This window comes from Homo sapiens, chromosome 1 (genome assembly GCF_000001405.40).
Source record: "Homo sapiens chromosome 1, GRCh38.p14 Primary Assembly".
In the NCBI taxonomy this organism is placed as follows: Eukaryota; Metazoa; Chordata; class Mammalia; order Primates; family Hominidae; genus Homo; species Homo sapiens.
In genome coordinates, this window is record NC_000001.11 from 232,085,448 (window position 1) to 232,103,335 (window position 17,888).

Genomic DNA, 17,888 nt, shown 5'->3' on the forward strand with positions numbered 1-17,888 from the left:
CACTCCATGACATAAGGCACCTCCTGCCAGGCCATGCTCACAAGAGTTGACCAACAGACTTAGCTCTCCTTTCTCTTCTAGTGAGTTCACTGTTCAACTCCAGGCCCCAGCCTCTGACATCAAGCTCTGGATTGTCTGCTGACTAAAGTGCTAGAAGACAAAGAAACTGAATAGAAGGAAGGCTCGTGGGACCCCTGCATTCTGCTTGCTTATTCTTAGAGGCCACCCCTCCACAGAAGACTTCTTAGGTTGGTTTTGAAGGGGTAGTTTTCTCATTATTTAAAAACACAGACTCCCCTATGCCTGAATTTCCCATAGATTAGAGCCCTTTTCCTGCTTAGGAACTTCCAACAGCCGTCTCCTGGCATTTCTTTGCTTGCATTTGGAAATTCTCTCCACTTAGACTCCACTGAAATGATCCAAACTCATCTTCTTTTATGCCAGAGCACACACTCTCCTCTGGTGGTCCTTGTGTCACGCAATCTCATTCCATCTCTGGCCAGCACTGTCTGATAGAAACAGGCGACAAGCTGTGAATGTAATTTTAAATTTTCTAATAGTCACACTTAAAAAGTAAAAAAAAGAAAATGATAAAATTAATTATAATAATCTGTTTTATATAACCCAGCATATCCAATAGATTACCTTTTCAAGATGATGTAATCACATAAAATTACAAATGAGATATTATACAATCTTTTTTTCATATTAAGTCCTTGACATTTGGTGTGTATTTTGCGCTGAGGGTGCATCTCCATTTGAATTAGGCATACATCTAGAACCCGGTGTTACGTATGGCTTGTGCCTACTATGCTGGAATTGTAGGTCCAGTCTTTTGTTCACGTTCATTCCCCATGTGTAAAATCTCTCTTCTCCCCCTCAGCTAAGTGAAATCCTAAACATCACTCAAGGCTCAGCTCCAGCTGTGCTTCTGAAAGGAATCTCCTCGAACTCAGTCAACACGTGTTCGTCTCCCCTTGACTGTGTCCAGGCCTGCAGTTACGCTTTTAAACATTTCCCTCCAGATAGCATCATCTCTGCCCCTTCACGCTAACACTGTCCTAACTCCACTGAAGCCCAGGGCACTCCTCACTGCACTTCTTTGCAGCAGTTCTCACTGGGTTCCTTATTACTTCTCTGGACTCTCCCAGTACCCTCATTCCTGATCACCTCTCCTTCTCAACACTCTCTTACCTTCACCTGCAAGCCCACATTCTCCTGACTTTCTTTCTCCCACTCTGACCACTTCTTAATATCATATGGGGTCTTCTATTCTGCTTCCATCGCTCATATATTTTCTTTTAGATCTGACCCAGCTCGCTACTCCTTTTCTTCTCTCTCCTTAGTCTCCGTTTGGACAATGTCATCAATACCTTAGATTTCAGGTATTATAGATAAGCAGAGTCTATTCCTATCTTCACCTGCAGCCTAAATTTCTTCCTTTATATTCAGGTCAGAAAATACAATTACATAAGTAGGGGAGAAAAAGTGTATCTTTTCCTCACCCAATATGAGAGTAATGGCTGAGACCCCTATAACAGAAGACAGGTTAAAAAGAGAAGAGCATATAATAAATTTATTTTATTAGTTTTATGTGGCAAGAGTACCCTCAGAAATGAAGAACCAAAGGAATGGGAAGATCCATGTATTTTTATGGACAGTGGTGCAGAAGTATGACTGGAGAAAAAAAGTATGATCTAAAGGGGGGAACTTAGGAAGGCCTATTTGTTCAGTTTCTTCCTGGGGTTCCTGCGTGACATTCCTTTCCTCTGGGGATAGAACAGGATACCTGACACATGAGGGTATTCAGAGGAAAGGAGGAGATCAGAGTCACCTTCCTAGGTTTGATGGTCTGCTTTAAGGAAGAAGGGGTAAGGAGAATGTTAGTTCCTATGTGTCCCACTTCAAGGGAGAAAGGAGTGAGAGAAGATCAGAGGGACTTCCAGCTTCTGCTGTTTTCTCAATTTCCAAGGCACCACATTTTGGGGTGGCATTTCCCACACCCCATCACATACTTGACATGTCATTAGATTTGTCAATCTAACCCCAACACACATACATGTTTGCACACACACTCACAGCACACCTATTTCTCCATTTGTCTCTGGTACACACATCCACACTGTTACCTAATCCAGAATCCTAGAGCCATGCTTGATTCCTTCTTCTCCCTCACTTCCCATATCCCATGTCCAATATCCAATCCACCAGCAGTTCAGGAATGCTCTAACTTCAAAAACTATCTCAAATGCGCCTCTTCTCTTCATCTTCTGGCAGGAACCTTAGTCCAAGCCAAAATATTTCCCACCTGGACTTTTATTTTTGGACTGCTTTCCTTGCTTCAAGTTCAAAGTCCCTTCCATAGTCCTCATAATCTAGCCCCAAGCCCGTCTCCAACCTCATCTTCTACCTTTCTTCTCTTTCAAAACACACCAAGCCTGCAGATCTTCTGTTATTAAAAGGTACAGTTTGTTGTAGTACAATTCACAGCACATGAGAATCCTCTTAATTTCATTGTGTTTTTGAGGCTTGGTCTCACTCTGTCACCCAGGCTGGAGTACAGTGGCTTGACCATGGCTCACTGCAGCCTCAACCTGCTGGGCTCAAGCAATCTCCTGGCACAGCCTCCCAAGTAGCTGGGTCTACAGGCACATGCCACCACACCCAGCTGATTTTTTTATTTCTTTATTTTTGTAGAGTTAGGTGTTTCCCTGTTTTGCCCAAGCTGGTGCAGCAAAAACATTTAAACTCCTGGGCTCAAGCAACCCTCCCAATATGGCCTCCAAAGTGCTGGGATTACAGGTGTAAGCCACTGCACCTGGCCTAGTCTTAATTTCAAGACAGTGGGAATTCATTACTTCCTAGACAAATCAAAGTGCTTAGTCCTCAGACTTGGCAACAGAGCCCTGGGCAGCCTCAGATTTGTTTTTATGTACTCCTGGGTAAGTCATTGAGGGTAGAAATAAAATGGTAGAAGAGACCTTAACAGCATTTCCCATATTTGGGGCTGGATTATAATTCATGCTATTCCCCAGAAAAAAAAAATGGTCTTTTTTCCCAAAATCTCTAGAGAAGGGTACACCACAGCCACTTTTAATGTTTGTTGACCTTTTCAGCGAGGAGGTTCTAATTCCAAACTCAAGTCCCTTCAGCTCTAGTTCAGCCTCAGCAGGTGCCAAGGTGTGCGCAAAAACATTTAAGAGACACAGCGGGTACTACTTCAGGCAACCCCCAACAAAATGGTGAATGGTGTGAAAGTTAGAGGAGAGGACTTTAAGGGACGCTTCAGGTTTGAGGTGTGTCTGAGAGAGGGACAAGAGTAGTGGTGAAGAGGACAGGGTTTGTAAGGCAGAAAATATATTTTTATTCTTTTCTTTGAAGTGTGAGACTTGCAAATTCACATGGATACAATTGTAGACTTACTCTAAATACGTTTAGAAAAAATATATATATATATATATTGCAAGACAGTCTCATTCTGTTGCCCAGGCTGGAGTGCAGTGGCACTCCATAGCTCATTGCAGCCTAGAACTCCTGGGCTCAAGTGATCCTCCCGCCTCAGCCTCCCAAGTAGCTGCAGTAATACAAGTGCATACCACCATGCCCAGTTAATTTTTTTAAATATATTTTTGTACAGACAGGGTCTCACTTGTATACTGCCCAGGCTAGTCCTGAACTCCTGGTATCAAGTGATCCTCTCGCCTCAACCTCCCAAGTGTGGGGGTTACAGGTGTGAGCTACTACACCCAGCCCAAGGACTGTTTTTCTTTTTTTTTTTTTTTGAGACAGAGTCTCGCTTTGTCACTCAGGATGGAGTGCACTGGTGCCATCTCAGCTCACTGCAACCTCTGCCTCCTGGGTTCAAGCAATTCTCCTGCCTCAGCCTCCCAAGTAGCTGAGACTACAGGCACGTGCCACCATGCCTGGCTAATTTTCGTGTTTTTTTGTTTTTTTTTGTTTTTGGAGATGGTGTCTCGCTGTGTCGCCCAGGCTGGAGTGCAGTGGAGCAATCTCGGCTCACTGCAATCTCCACCTCCCGGGTTCAAGCAATCCTGCCTCAGCCTCCCGAGTAGCTGGGACTACAGGTGCACGCTGCCACACCTAATTTTTTTGTATTTTTAGTAGAGATGGGGTTTCACCATGTTGCCCAGGCTGGTTTTGAACTCCTGAGCTTGGACAATCTGTCCGCCATGGCCTCCCAAAGTGCTAGGATTACTGGCGTGAGCCAATGTGCCCCTCCTAATTTTTGTATTTTTAGTAGAGACGGGGTTTTGCCATGTTGGCCAGGCTGGTTTCGAGCTCCTGACCTCAGGTGATCCATGCACCTTGGCCTCCCAAAGTGTTGGGATTACAGGCGTGAGCCACTGTGCCCAGCCCCAAGAACTGTTTTAAGAGGAAGCATAAGAATTAACTATGAGGCTTCATGGTAAAGATTTGATTCATGAGAAGATCCAGATGCCAGGCATAGTGGCTTACACCAGTAATCCCAGCACTTTGGGAGGCCAAAGCGGGCAGATCATCTGAAGTTAGGAGTTCGAGACCAGGCTGACCAACATGGTGAAACCCTGTCTCTATTAAAAATACAAAAATTAGCCGGGCATGGTGGCGCGTGCCTGTAATCCCAGCTACTCAGGAGGCTGAGGCAGGAGAATCGCTTGAACCCGGGAGGCAGAGGTGGCAGTGAGCCGAGATTATGCCAATGTACTCCAGCCTGGGTGACAGAGCGAGACACCATCTCAAAAAACAAAACAAAACAGAGAGGTCAAATAAGGTACAGCGTCCTGTTCCATTTTCCCTACCCAACCCCAAATCTGTGTCAGGAAGTACCAGAGATTGAATCCTTAAAGGGTGGGTACTCATATTTTATATCCATAAACCAACACCCCGTTTCCCCCCACATTACCTCCCCAGCGAGATAAGTAGCAGGAAACTTCCCCATTTGGTTAACTGAGTTTCCCTTTTGCTATCCGCAAAGCCGGGCCCATTCTTCCTAGGGGTGATGGAGTATGATTATAAATTTCCATTAATCAACAAAGTCAGTTGGAGTTTTATATTCCCCCTCTTCAGGGTAGAAGCTTCATGCTGAAGACGGAATTTAAAAGACCATTTTGATGTCTTATTGCTTCCACTATTTTTCAAAAATAACAATTGCCCAGAACGTACCAGCTTCCAGCTGTTATCTTTCAGTCTGGTTCACAGGCGATGCTGCATTAAAAATTCAAGTTCGGTAAAGATGCCTTCACGGCATTGTCTCATTTCTGTATTTTAACAATGATAAAATATGAAATTTGAGCTGGAAGCAATATTACGATTTTGATATCAGCGACTCTGCACATGTGGTTTTACCTCCCACGTTCCTCCTTCCCCTCCAGAGGAAGTTTTCTTAAAGATTTTTCAGCAGGCAGATTTATTACGCGTCATGATTTGGGGATTATCTGTTGGACAGTTTTGCTATTTTTTTCTGATACCAGAAACTAAAAAGAGCAGATCATTTGGCTTTCAGGGACATATACTACATTGTAATCACTTCCACACTGTGAATACAATCTGCAGTAACACAAATGTAATTCCTGTCACTAATTGAAAGACTCCCTTTTCATGGAGCTTATGTAGAAATATCAGATTGTTCTGAATGTCTTTTGAGGCTATTTTTCACCAGATGCTTTTTTGGTTGTGAGAGGATTAGTGGGATTCTCTAGTCCAATAAACTGTTATCTCCAAAGAATATTTCTGATGGGGCATCGCAATGACATGCAGTCATGTTTTAATTTTAATACAGACGGCAGAATCTGAAAAGTACATTCTGGCACATGGAGACAGATGTTTCTCCCTTCAAACATTGCCAGAAACAATTTGACCCCTTTATAATCATGTTTCAATTACCTGCTTTTTTCTTTCTCTCTCTTTCCCTTCACTCTCCCTTCATCTTTTTCTCCATTCTTTTATTTTATTCTGTTCCTCCCTCAGATTCTCTCTTTCCTGCCAACTTTTCATTTCATGCTGTTTTACAGTTCGCTTCATATTTTCCATTTTTCCTTTAAAAAAATCTTCTGTCAAAGCCTTAGACTGCCACTAAGAACCTAGCATTCCTTGATCATATAGAAAGTAGGATATGAAATAATAGACTAGCGCTACACTGTAATAATCATCTTCATTTCTCTTGTAGGACATTGCCTTGCTGTGGTTCTGCACCAGTTGCTATGTCTGGATATGAAATAATTCTAGCGAGATCCTCGTTAAAATGCTAAGCAAAAGCAAAGCTTTATGAAGCACATAATATTCATACAAGTTTAAGAAAAATATCCATCCATTTGGAGAACAAATGTTTTTGAAACTCTATGCAAACTCTTAATTACGATACATTTTTACTTTTCATTATAGTAGGTTCTTAGAGGACTTTTACTTCATAGCATTTTATACCTGAGTTATTGTTATTATTGAAAGAAAATTGAAATAAATTTCACAATCCTTTGCCATATATCATTTTAACTATTTAACACTGTTTCTCCCTGAAGACATTACACGTTTTTGGATTGTTACTATGTTAGGTTGCTTCCTGGCCAGCCCCTCTCTCAAAGTCATGAACGGTGAGCTCTTGATCCAGAGAAATCAAATCTTTAAAGGTAAACTCAATAAAATAATGTCACTTTGTTCAAAGAAAAAGCAGATGAAATATCTTAATGAGAGTTATCAACTAAGCAAATATTTATTGAGAATCTACGCGGTTCTTTTGAGGCCCATGTCTTTGTAGTGTTCTGTCATAGTAAGAGGTCCAGCTACTCTGAAGCTGCCATGCTGTGATGTCCAGGCCACGTGGAGAGGCCGTGTGAACCTGCTCCAGCCAATAGCTGAGGTCCCACGCAACAGCTCGCATCAACTGCCAGACAGGAGTGAAGACTCCTCCAGAGAACTTCAGCCTCCAGCCATTGATTCATTCATAGCCTTCAAGCCCTTCCCAGCTGAGGCACAAGACATTGTGGAGTGCAGTGCAGTAGCTGAATTCCTGACCCACAGAAACTACGGGCATAATAAAGGGATTGCTGTATGCCACTAGGTTTTGGGGTGGCTTGTTATATGGCAACAGTAACTGGGACTGATTTTGGTACCAGGACTGGGGTGCTACCATGGCCAAAAAAAAGCTAAAACATTGTAGCATTGGCTTTGGGACCAGGCAGCCTTGAGGAGACTGTCAATGAAGGATTAAAGGATCCTGAAAAGAATTTTAGTGAAAGGTGGAGGGGCATCAATGGTAATATTGGCAGAAGTCTCAAGGGCCTTGAACATGCCCCTGTCTTTCTTCCCAGAGGTAACTGACTTTGCTACTTGCATTTCCACACAGCTTTTATACTATTATTACATATAAGTATCAAAAATAATTTAGGCCGGGTGTGGTGGCTCACGCTCGTAATCCCAGCACTTTGAGAGGCCGCGGCGGCAGATCTGAGGTCAGGAGTTTGAGACCAGCCTGGTCAACATGGTGAAACCCCATCTCTACTAAAAATACAAAACTTAACTGGGCGTGGTGGCGGGTGCCTGTAATCCCAGCTACTTGGGCAGCTGAGGCAGGAGAATTTCTTGAACCTGGGAGGCGGAGGTTGCAGTGAGCCAAGATAAAACCATTGCACTCCAGCCTGGGCAACAAGAGCAAAACTCTGTCTCAAAATAATAATAATAATAATAATAATAATAATATAGATCATTTTGCTTTATTTTGAACTCTATATAAATGTTATATACAATGTTTGACATTTTGCAACTAGCTTCTTACACTCAACATTCTCTTTTTGGAGTTATCCATGTTTACAGCTTCAGTTTCTCTTTATGCATTTGTATCGCTGTATAGTATTCCACTATAGGCATATCTGAGAATTTAGTTATGCAATCTATGAAGAGGGAATGGCCATTTAGAATTTTCCAAATGCTTTTCTATAAACAGTTTTGTGCATATCCTTGTACATATGTGCAAGCATTTATCTAGCTCATATACATAAAAGTGGAACTGCTAGGTTGAAGAATATTCATATTTCAACTTTACTAGGTATTGCTAAATTACTCTCCAATGTTGGAGCAAACTTACAGGTCTACTTGCATGAGAATTTTCAATTTTCCAAATCCTCGTTGGCATTCGAGCTTTCTCATTGTGAAATATTTGTTCTGCCCTTTTTTTCTATTAGGTTTGTTCATTTCCCATTGTGTGTACCTATACATACATACATATATATCTAAAATGAATTTTATATACTTCTGAAATACTATAATTACATACCTTATGTATTTAAATTTTTATGTGTATATCTTATATATGGGTATATTTATATCTGTATTTATATATCTTAAGTACTAATCTTTTGCCAGTTGTGTGAGAAAACTTCATTACAAGCTTTGGCTTATAATGCTTTACAATGATTTTTAATATAAGGACATTTAAAATTTTAAAGCAATCAAATATGTCAGTCTTTTCCATTTTGTTTAAGAAACACTTTTTTTACTTAGAAGTGACAGAATATTCCCCTATATTTTCTTCAAAAGCTTAAAGTTATATGTTTCGTATTTGGTCTTTAATATATTTAGGATTTTGTGGTGTGAGACAGGATATCTAAATTTATTTTAGTCCACATGGATAATCAATTATCACAGCATCTTTATTATAAAATGTATTCTTCACCTATAAGTTATAATGCTACTTTTATCCCTGTATCATATTTCAGTGTATGTTTAGGTCAGTTTCCGCGTTCCCTACTGCGTAACATCAAACTCTGCATTTAACCATATTGCTAAACTCTCATATTAATCTGGATAAATTGCCTAATGTTTCTCTTATTATCTATGATAACATTTTAACTGAAAATAAGGACATATTTTTCTTTTTCTTTCTTTTACCCCTTGTTTCTTTTCTAACTGTACGTTTGGAACCTCCAAGGGCAGTGCTGAATCAAAGCGGTGATGTGGGGGCGGTCTCTGTCTTCCCGACCTCTAAGTCTGACTGTTCTGCATGATGTTTTCATAGGTTTTTGATGGATATAATTTATCATGGTAAGACAGTTCCCTTCCACTTTTAGTTTGCAAGGAATTTTTACAATAAATGAATGAGTTTTGAATTGTATTTAATACTTTTTCCATATCCTTGGGATAATTGTAGTATTTTTCTTCTTTAATCTACAAAAGGGCAGGAATTTTGTCTTGTTCAGTATTTAACCTCTCATGCCTACTAACACTACTGGTGCATAATAGCTACTCAACAAAGTCTGGTTGCATAAATAATTTTTTAAAAAACATGAAAACCTATATTTTCATGGCTGGCAATGGGAAAAAAATGTCCTTACAGGGATACAGAGTGATAGTATGCTGCTAATTTCTAGCCTAAATGCACTCTCCTCTTCTGACCTCTAACTCTTTCAGGATCAGGGAGGCCTCAGGGAGGGCAGTGGACCTTCTCTAACATTGATCCCAAATAGTTGAACCTAGGGGAGAGAGAGAAAGCTGCCTTTCACTCTAGCACTGTCAGGCATGAAATACATACTACTCTTAATTCCCTGCAGTATAGTTACAAAGAGATTTTTAAAACTTGACCATGTGCCTGTGTAAGGAAATTGCAGTATAATAAGTGACTTGCAATAACAGCCTCCTTCTCTCCATCCTCCTGGAGTCTTCTTGTGACAGAGACTTTATCTTGGAACCTTGGTATGGCTTTCTGCATGGCAGTTGCTTTCTGAAATTGTTTGCACGATTTTACGTGCACACCTCGGCATTTCCATTGTCAACATTCTATGCCACAGGATGCTAAAAAGGACCTTTTCCTACTCTTCATGATTTGCTGAAAACCATGTGATATTTAGACCTTATCTTTCTTAGACAGTTTGTCATCATTGTTTTCCTCAGTTTTTGATGCCATTTTGATTCCGTCCAACATCTTTTAGCAAATGTCAGTTGGATTCTCATTTCTCTGTAAGTATAGAACTATTTTTTTCCTCCCTTTTTCTCTTTCTCAAGGCTTTTATGATCATATCTTTATCCCTTGTGTCCTGGGATGTCATATGATGTTTCTAGACGTGGGGATTTTTCATTTATATGACTTTCCGTTGAGAGATTTGTGTCTTTCATGAGTTTAGGGGTTTTTCTTATGTCATTTTCTTGATAAAGTATTTGTTTTCTTGGCAATCTCTTCCTGGGACTTTTTTTTTTTAATGTCATTATTTTAAACTGACACACAATAATTGTACATATTTACAGGGTACATGTGATATTTCTTTTCTCTTTTTTTTTTGTGTGTGTGTGATGGAGTCTGTCTGTGTTGCCCAGGCTGGAACGCCGTGGCACCATCTTGGCTTGCTGCAAACTCTGCCTCCCAGGTTCAAGTGATTCTTCTGCCTCAGCCTCCCAAGTAGCTGGGATTGCAGGCATGCACCACCATGCCCAGCTAATTTTTGTATTTTTAGTAGAGACAGGGTTTCACCATGTTGGCCAGGCTGGTCTTGAACTTCTGACCTCAGGTGATCCACCCACCTTGGCCTCCCAAAGTGCTAGGATTACAGGCGTGAGCCACCGCACCCAGCCGATATTTCAATACATGTATACAATGTATACAATGTGTAATAAGCCAATCAGAGTAATTAGCATATCCATCACCTCAAACATTTATTGTTTCTTTGTGTTGGGAACATTCAAAATCTGCTCTTTTAGCTATTTGAAAATATATAATAGACGTTGTTTGTGAGAGCCACCCTAGAGTGTTATGGGGCAGTAGGACTTATTTCTCTTATCTAGCTGCACTTTTGTGTCCACTCATCAACCCTTGGCTTTTAATAGCTTTTAATAGCGGGGTCTTGGGCCATCTTCACATATTTTTCGAGACGGAGTCTCGCACTGTCCTCTGGGCTGGAGTACAGTGGCGCAATCTCGGCTCACTGCAACCTCCACCTCCTGGGTTCAAGCAAATCTCCTGCCTCAGTCTCCTGAGTAGCTGGGATTACAGGCACCTGCCACCGTGCCTAGCTAATATTTTGTATTTTTAGTAGAGACAGGGTTTCACTGTGTTGGCCAGGCTGGTCTCAAATTCTTGACCTCATGATCCATCTGCCTTGGCCTCCCAAAGTGCTGGGATTACAGGCATGAGCCACCATGCCTGGCCCACATCTCTTAATCGCTTATTTGTCCCATCTCTTGATAATTTGGGTTTACATTCTGGGAGATGACTTTGACTTTGCCTTCCAATCCTCATACTAAATTGTTCCTATTTTGGCACTCATATTTGTTAAATTCTAAAACCTTTTCACCTTCTGATTGCATTTCTTTGTCATTTGTGGATACAGTAACTTATATAATCCCTGGGAATTACACTTATTTTGGTTACTTTCTGAGCCTTCCATTAACTCATTTATTCCAATGTCCTTTTTCCCCCTATTTGTTTGTTTTGGTCCTCTTGTGGTCTTGACTTCTTGAATATCTTGTGGTCTTCAGTCATCTGGCATTCCTGTCCTTCCGAAGAATGAAGCAAGAGAAATGCTGACAGCAGCCTTGTGCATGTGGCAGGCCTGTGGACAGTGTCATAACCTCAGGGGCCTGAAAGCCAAGGGCTCTTCCCAAGGATGCAGCACTCCCAGGCCATACCCCTTCCTCACAGGCCTAAGAGAAAGGTGAACCTCATTCCGCCTGAGGTTGGGTTCGCCCAGAAGCAGACTCTGAGGCAAGGCTTTAGGATGATGAGAACACTTTATTGAAGAAGTTCTCCCAGGGGAAACCTGTTTGAGAGTGAGGGGTACAGATCAGGAAGGAGGAAGAGGCCAAGCACAGGTGAGCTTTCTGGTGAAGCATCAGGCTCGGCCTGAGTTCGTGGGGAGCTCTGGAGGGCAAATGACATCTCAGAGCTTGTCCTGCCTCAAGGCAAGGGAGCTGGGCTTTTGTACCACCCACAAAACATCTACTGGCTGCCCTGGGGGAGGAAGGAAGACATAAAGGGCATGCGGGGGAAGGCTGCTCTAGCACCCAATGTGGACTCTCTAAAGTTACAGGTACGGCTCGTGGTAGCAAAGCTGGTAGAAGCAGGGCTTTGGGGGCTGCAGCCACAGACAGGACCTAAGGGGACCTGGACAGAGTGAGCTCCAAGAGTATGTGTACCAGGCCCCCGACCTGCAGCATCTACCATTCTGCATGTTGGCCTTTTCTCAAGCTCTGTGGAGATGCATTTCCTCATTTATAAGTCAGGCACAAGGGTGATATTGTAAGAATTAGTGCATCTGTGTCACATAGTGAAAAAAAGAATGATCTAAATGGCTGCCTTTGGTATCCTCTTTGGGGAAAAGCATCTTTGAAAGCATTCACAGAAAAGCCCACAAGATGGGTAAGACCCTGAGAATGGCTATGTCAGCAGGCTCCAAATCACTAGAGGAGAAAGGAAGGGGCTCTGCAGAAGAAAGGGGGAGTGATTTGATATTTTGCTATTAAAAGGAACTGAACACCAGGGATGTTTACAGCAGGTTTATTTGTAATTGCCAAACTTAGAAGCAACCAAGATGGCCTGCTGTATGCAAATGGATAAGCTGCAGTCCACCCAGATAAATAAAATATTATCTAGCAATAAAAAGAAATGAGCTATCAAGCCACAAAAAGAGATGGAAGAAGCATCATTGCATAGCATTTACTGAAAGAGGCCAATCTGAAAAGGCAATATGCTGTGAGATTCTAACTATTTAACACCCTGGGAAAAGCAAAACTGTGGAGAGGATCAAAAGAGCAGGGGTTGTCAAAGTTGTGGGGAGGAAGAAATGAATAGGCAGAGCACTACTATTTTTAGAGCAGTGCAATGATTGTGTGATTCTATAATGGTAGATACAGGTCATTATACATTTGTCCAAACCTAATGAATGTACAGCAACAAGAGTGAACCCTAATGTAAACTGGGTTCACTATGAATTTTGGGTGATGATGATGTGTCAGCATAGGTGTATCCACTGTAACAAATGGACCACTCTGGTTGAGATGTTGATAATGGGAGAGGTTGTGTGTAGGGCAGGGGAGGGGGGATATGAGGTACATGGGAAATCTCTATACTTTCTGCTTAATTTTGCTGTGTTGGGCAGTGTAAGCCACCCTTAAAAAACAAAGTTTATGTTTGGCTGAGTGTGGTGGCTCATGCCTGTAATCCCAGCACTTTGGGAGGCTGAAGCGGGCAGATTACCTGAGGTCAGGAGTTCAAGACCAGCCTGGCCAACATGGTGAAACTCCATCTCTACTAAAAATACAAAAAATTAGCCAGGTACGGTGGTGCACACCTCTGATCCCAGCTGCTTGAAAGACTGAGGCACGAGAATCACTTGAACCTGGGAGGTGGAGGTTGCAGCAATCTGAGATTGTGCCACTACACTTCAGCCCAGATGACAGAGCAAGACTCCATCTCAAAAAAAAAAATTAAGTTTATTTGTAAAAAATCAATCAATCAAAAAAAATGGACCTGAGTGGAGGAAAGAAGGAGAGATGGGAAAAGGGGAGCTTGCAGATGCAGGGTGATGGAGGCTGGATAAGGGGCGAATCACAAGTGACGGGATGGCACTGAGCAGGCTTCCTCTGAAGTGCTGTAGCTGAGAGGTAAGCCCATCTTCCTCTCAAACTTCATTTGTTCAACTCAGCACCTGGCTGCCTTGGGTGCTGTCAGAGATAAGTCTTACTTATGGAGACTGAGCAGGAGTTTTGGTTCCTGGTCTGAGCCCAAAATACGCCTAGTGCGGCAATGTGCTTGGAAACAGTCCAGCGTAGCCATGAGAAGAAAAGCTGCTGGAGAATTTGAAGAACACTTGGAGAGGGCTTTGGGAATTTCAAGCCAGTGTTGTCGAGCTCTTCAAGGGTCACTGAGGACCCCTCACTGTCTTAGGTTGTAGAGCTAAGAACACTGTGAACCACAAGGGACGTGCAGATGGAGAGGGGAATTAGCATCTGGATTAGGAGCTTTGCGATCTTCAAAGAGCGATGCTGCCCATCTTTCACTCCAAAACCCGGAGGAGTGATGAGGACATCCATTCATTCTTGCTAGTTCCCTAAATGTCAAGGGAACAGGGTTAAGAGGGACCCAGGTACATTCAGCCCCTGACACAGATGTCTACTGTCTTCCTTGGGAAACTGATTAGGTCACCCTGACTATCGGGGGAACCAGCCACCAATATTTCAACACAGGTTCTTTCTGTTTTCCCTAAGTGTCTGCCAGTCTGAGAAATAAAGAGAAAGAGTACAAAGAGAGGAATTTTACTGCGGAATTGGGCCACCAGGGGTAACACCCATATTGGTAGGTCCATGATGCCCCCCTGAGCGGCAACACCAGCAAGTTTTTATTAGGGATTTCAAAAGGGGAGGGGATGTACGAACAGGGAGTAGGTCACAAAGATTACATGCTTCAAAGGGCAAAAAAGGAGAACAAAGTTCACATGCTTCTGAGGCCAATAAAGATCACAAGTCAAAGGGCAAAGCAAGATCACAAGGCAAGGGCAAAATTAGAATTACTGATGAGGGTCTATGTTCAGCTGTGCACGTATTGTCTTGATAAACATCTTAAACAACAGAAAACAGGGTTTGAGAGCGGAGAACTAGTCTGACCTCAAATTCACCAGGGTGGGATTTTTTCCCCACCCTAATAAGCCTGAGGATACTGCAGGAGACCAGGGCGTATTTCAGTCTTTATCTCAACTGCGTAAGACAGACACTCCCAGAGCGGCCGTTTATAGACTTTCCCCCAGGAATGTAATTCTTTTCCCCAGGAATGTAATTAAGGGTCTTAATATTTAATATTCCTTGCTAGGAGAAGAATTTAGTGATATCTCTCCTACTTCCACATCCGTTTATAGGCTCTCTGCAAGAAGAAAAATATGGCTCTATTCTGCCCGACTCCGCAGGCAGTCAGACTTTTGGTTGTCTTCCCTTGTTCCCTAAAATCGCTGTTATTCTGTTCGTTTTCAAGGTGCACTGATTTCTTATTGTTCAAACACACGTTTTGCAATCAATTTGTACAATAGTGGCCCTGAGGTGACGTACATTCTCAGCTTACGAAGATAACAGGATTAAGAGATTAAAGTAAAGAAAGGAATAAGAATTTATAAGAGTATTAATTTTGGGAACTGATAAGTGTCCATGAAATCTTCACAATTTATGTTCAGAGATTGCAGTACATACAGGCATGAGAAATTATAAAAGTATTAATTTTGGGAACTGATAAATGTCCATGAAATCTTCACAATTTATGTTCCTCTCCCACGGCTCTATCCAGTCCCTGCTTTTGGGGTCCCTGACTTCCCGCAACATCTGACAGCATTCTTGGTGGTACCATTCCCTCCAGAATCTGCACCATCACATGCAGAAAAGAGCAAAAAGCCTTGAAGAAAATATCTTACTTTTTGTAGACCAATCCCAAGTAAAAGAGGAGTGGATTGACTTTCAGATAAGATAATTATTCCAAGAAATAACTTTAAAATACATTTTGCACTGCAGAGTTGGAAAAACGTTGTTATGTAGATGAAGATGAAATCGGAATGTCCCATATGGGAGCAGGTGGTATGCCTCCTTCTACCTCCACTTAAGGAAGCTGCTTGGTGGATCCATGATAAGTGAGTGAGGGAAGGTAGAAGAGAAGAGGCTAGAAAAGATTTGGAAAGATGATTGAAGGTGCACAGACAAAGGTTGGATCTTTGTCCCTCCACCTGCTAATCCTGTGACCCCTGGGCAAGTGAAGCAGCATCCTGCACTTCAGTGTGAATGCAGCTCAGCATGAACTAGACAGCAGAATAAGAAAACCTACTTTGTGGAACTCCTGTGAGGATAAAAACATACTGCTTAGAATGCACTAGCACTGTTTTAAAACTCTCCATTATGAAAGACATCAATTGTTCAATTTATACCCTTAGTTTTGGCATGAGAGCATTGCAAAAGTAACTTAAGTGTCTTGCTGGGACCTTCTGATGAAAGTTTCACTGTAGAAGAGAATTTGTCCCTTGGCTTTATGTTCAGACTGCAGCTCTAAAGCCAAGTGCATTGAACAATAGTATGTGTGTGTTTACGCCCTCTGAGTTCTGATTTCTCTCATTTTTCTGGTTCCTTCACTTGATATTTTGCCATAACACATCCACAATTATTCCAAACAGAGCTGTAACAAAAGTTAGGACCTCAAGGAAAATGCAGCTGTCAGGTGCTGCAGTGTTCAGATGGGTTACTCGCAGACTTTTCTACCTGTGTGTGAGCACAAAGGTCAATTGCATTCTTTTAGGTAAGCTGGTTAATTCAAAGGGGTCTTTTCTAAGTTACTAGGATGCTATAAGACATTGATATAGTTTGGCTATTTGTCCCCTCCAAATCTCATGTTAAAATGTAATCTCCAGGCCGGGCACGGTGGCTCACGCCTGTAATCCCAGCACTTTGGGAGGCTGAGGTGGGTGGATCACCTGAGGTTGGGAGTTCGAGACCAGACTGACCAACATAGAAAAACCCTGTCTCTACTAAAAATACAACATTAGTGGGGCATGGTAGCGTATGCCTGTAATCCCAGCTACTCAGGAGACTGAGGCAGGAGAATCACTTGAACCCAGGAGGTGGAGGTTGCAGTGAGCTGAGATAGATAGCGCCATTGCACTCCAATCTGGGCAACAAGAGCAAAACTTTGTCTCAAAAAAAAAAAAAAAAAAAAAAAAGAAATGTAATATCCAGTGTTGGAGGTGGGGCCTGGTGAGAGGTGATTGGATCATGGGGGTGGACACTTCATGCACGGTTTAGCACCGTCCCTTTAGGAATAAGTGAGTTCTTGCTCTGAGTTCACGAGGCATCTGGTTGTTTAAAAGTGTGCGGGTTTTCCCATTTACTCTCTTGCTTCTGCTCTCACTGTGTGCTGTGCCTGCTCCCGTTTTGCCTTCTGCCATGACCAAAAGGCTCCTGGGGCTCTCACCAGAAGCAGATGCTGAAGTCATGCTGGTACAGCCTGCAGAACCATGAGCCAATTAAACTTCTTTTCTTTATAAATTAGCCAGCCTTTGGTATTCTTTTATAGCAATGCAGGAACAGCCTAATACAAGCCTTTTTGTGGTAAGTCTAGGACACTGGGGTAAAGGGCTTTATTCTTAACTATTTACTATGTAATTATATATATGTTGCATAGATGTAGTAGGTAAGGTGGACCTAAATATGTGTGAAAAATGTCTACTCTCATGGAACTTATTTTTTTATTTTTTTAATTTTAATTTTTATGTATTTATTTATTTTTGAGATGGAGTCTCGCTCTGTCGCCCAGGCTGGAGTGCAGCGGCATCATCTCGGTTCACTGCAAGCTATGCCTCCTGGATTCATGCCATTCTCTTGCCTCAGCCTCCCGAATAGCTGGGACTACAGGCGCCCGCCACCACCCCCGGCTAATTTTTTGTAGTTTTAGTAGAGACGGAGTTTCACTGTGTTAGCCAAGATGGTCTCGATCTCCTGACCTCGTGATCCACTGCCTCAGCCTCCCAAAGTGCTGGGATTACAGGCATGAGCCACTGCACCTGGCCCATGCTCATGGAACTTAAAAAGCAGTAAGGAAAAGATGAATAAACACATGAAACCATCAGCAAATAATGTGCGATGGTATCTAATTAAGTTCTAATTAGCTTTGGGAGCATTTACCAGAATTATTCATCATGAACTCTAGCAAAATTTTTTCTCCCTGCCAGCTCTAAATAATTCTTCATCTCAGCTAGTCTTTGTTACATACCAAGCATCATGCATGTTTCTTTGAGGCCATCTGAAAAAACACAAGACACCTCGAATGAAGAAGGTAATTATATCTGTGGGACTATGGAATTTGTATTTATGAAATAGGTAAATAAACTGTGCAAAACCCAGCATTCATTTTGGAAAGAGACACTAAGTAAAGACAGCAAGCCTAGAAA

The 17,888-nt window shown here is 42.1% G+C and overlaps 1 long non-coding RNA gene across 1 annotated transcript in view; it reads left to right on the forward strand.

The window, feature by feature from the left end:
* Positions 1-6,478, forward strand: part of LOC105373171 (uncharacterized) — a 33,098-nt gene extending 26,620 nt beyond the window's left edge. The window contains exons 2-3 of the long non-coding RNA XR_949271.3: positions 82-248; positions 6,167-6,478. This is a non-coding gene — a long non-coding RNA (uncharacterized LOC105373171). The remainder of the gene's footprint in view (positions 1-81; positions 249-6,166) is intronic.
* The last annotated feature ends 11,410 nt before the right edge of the window (positions 6,479-17,888 follow it).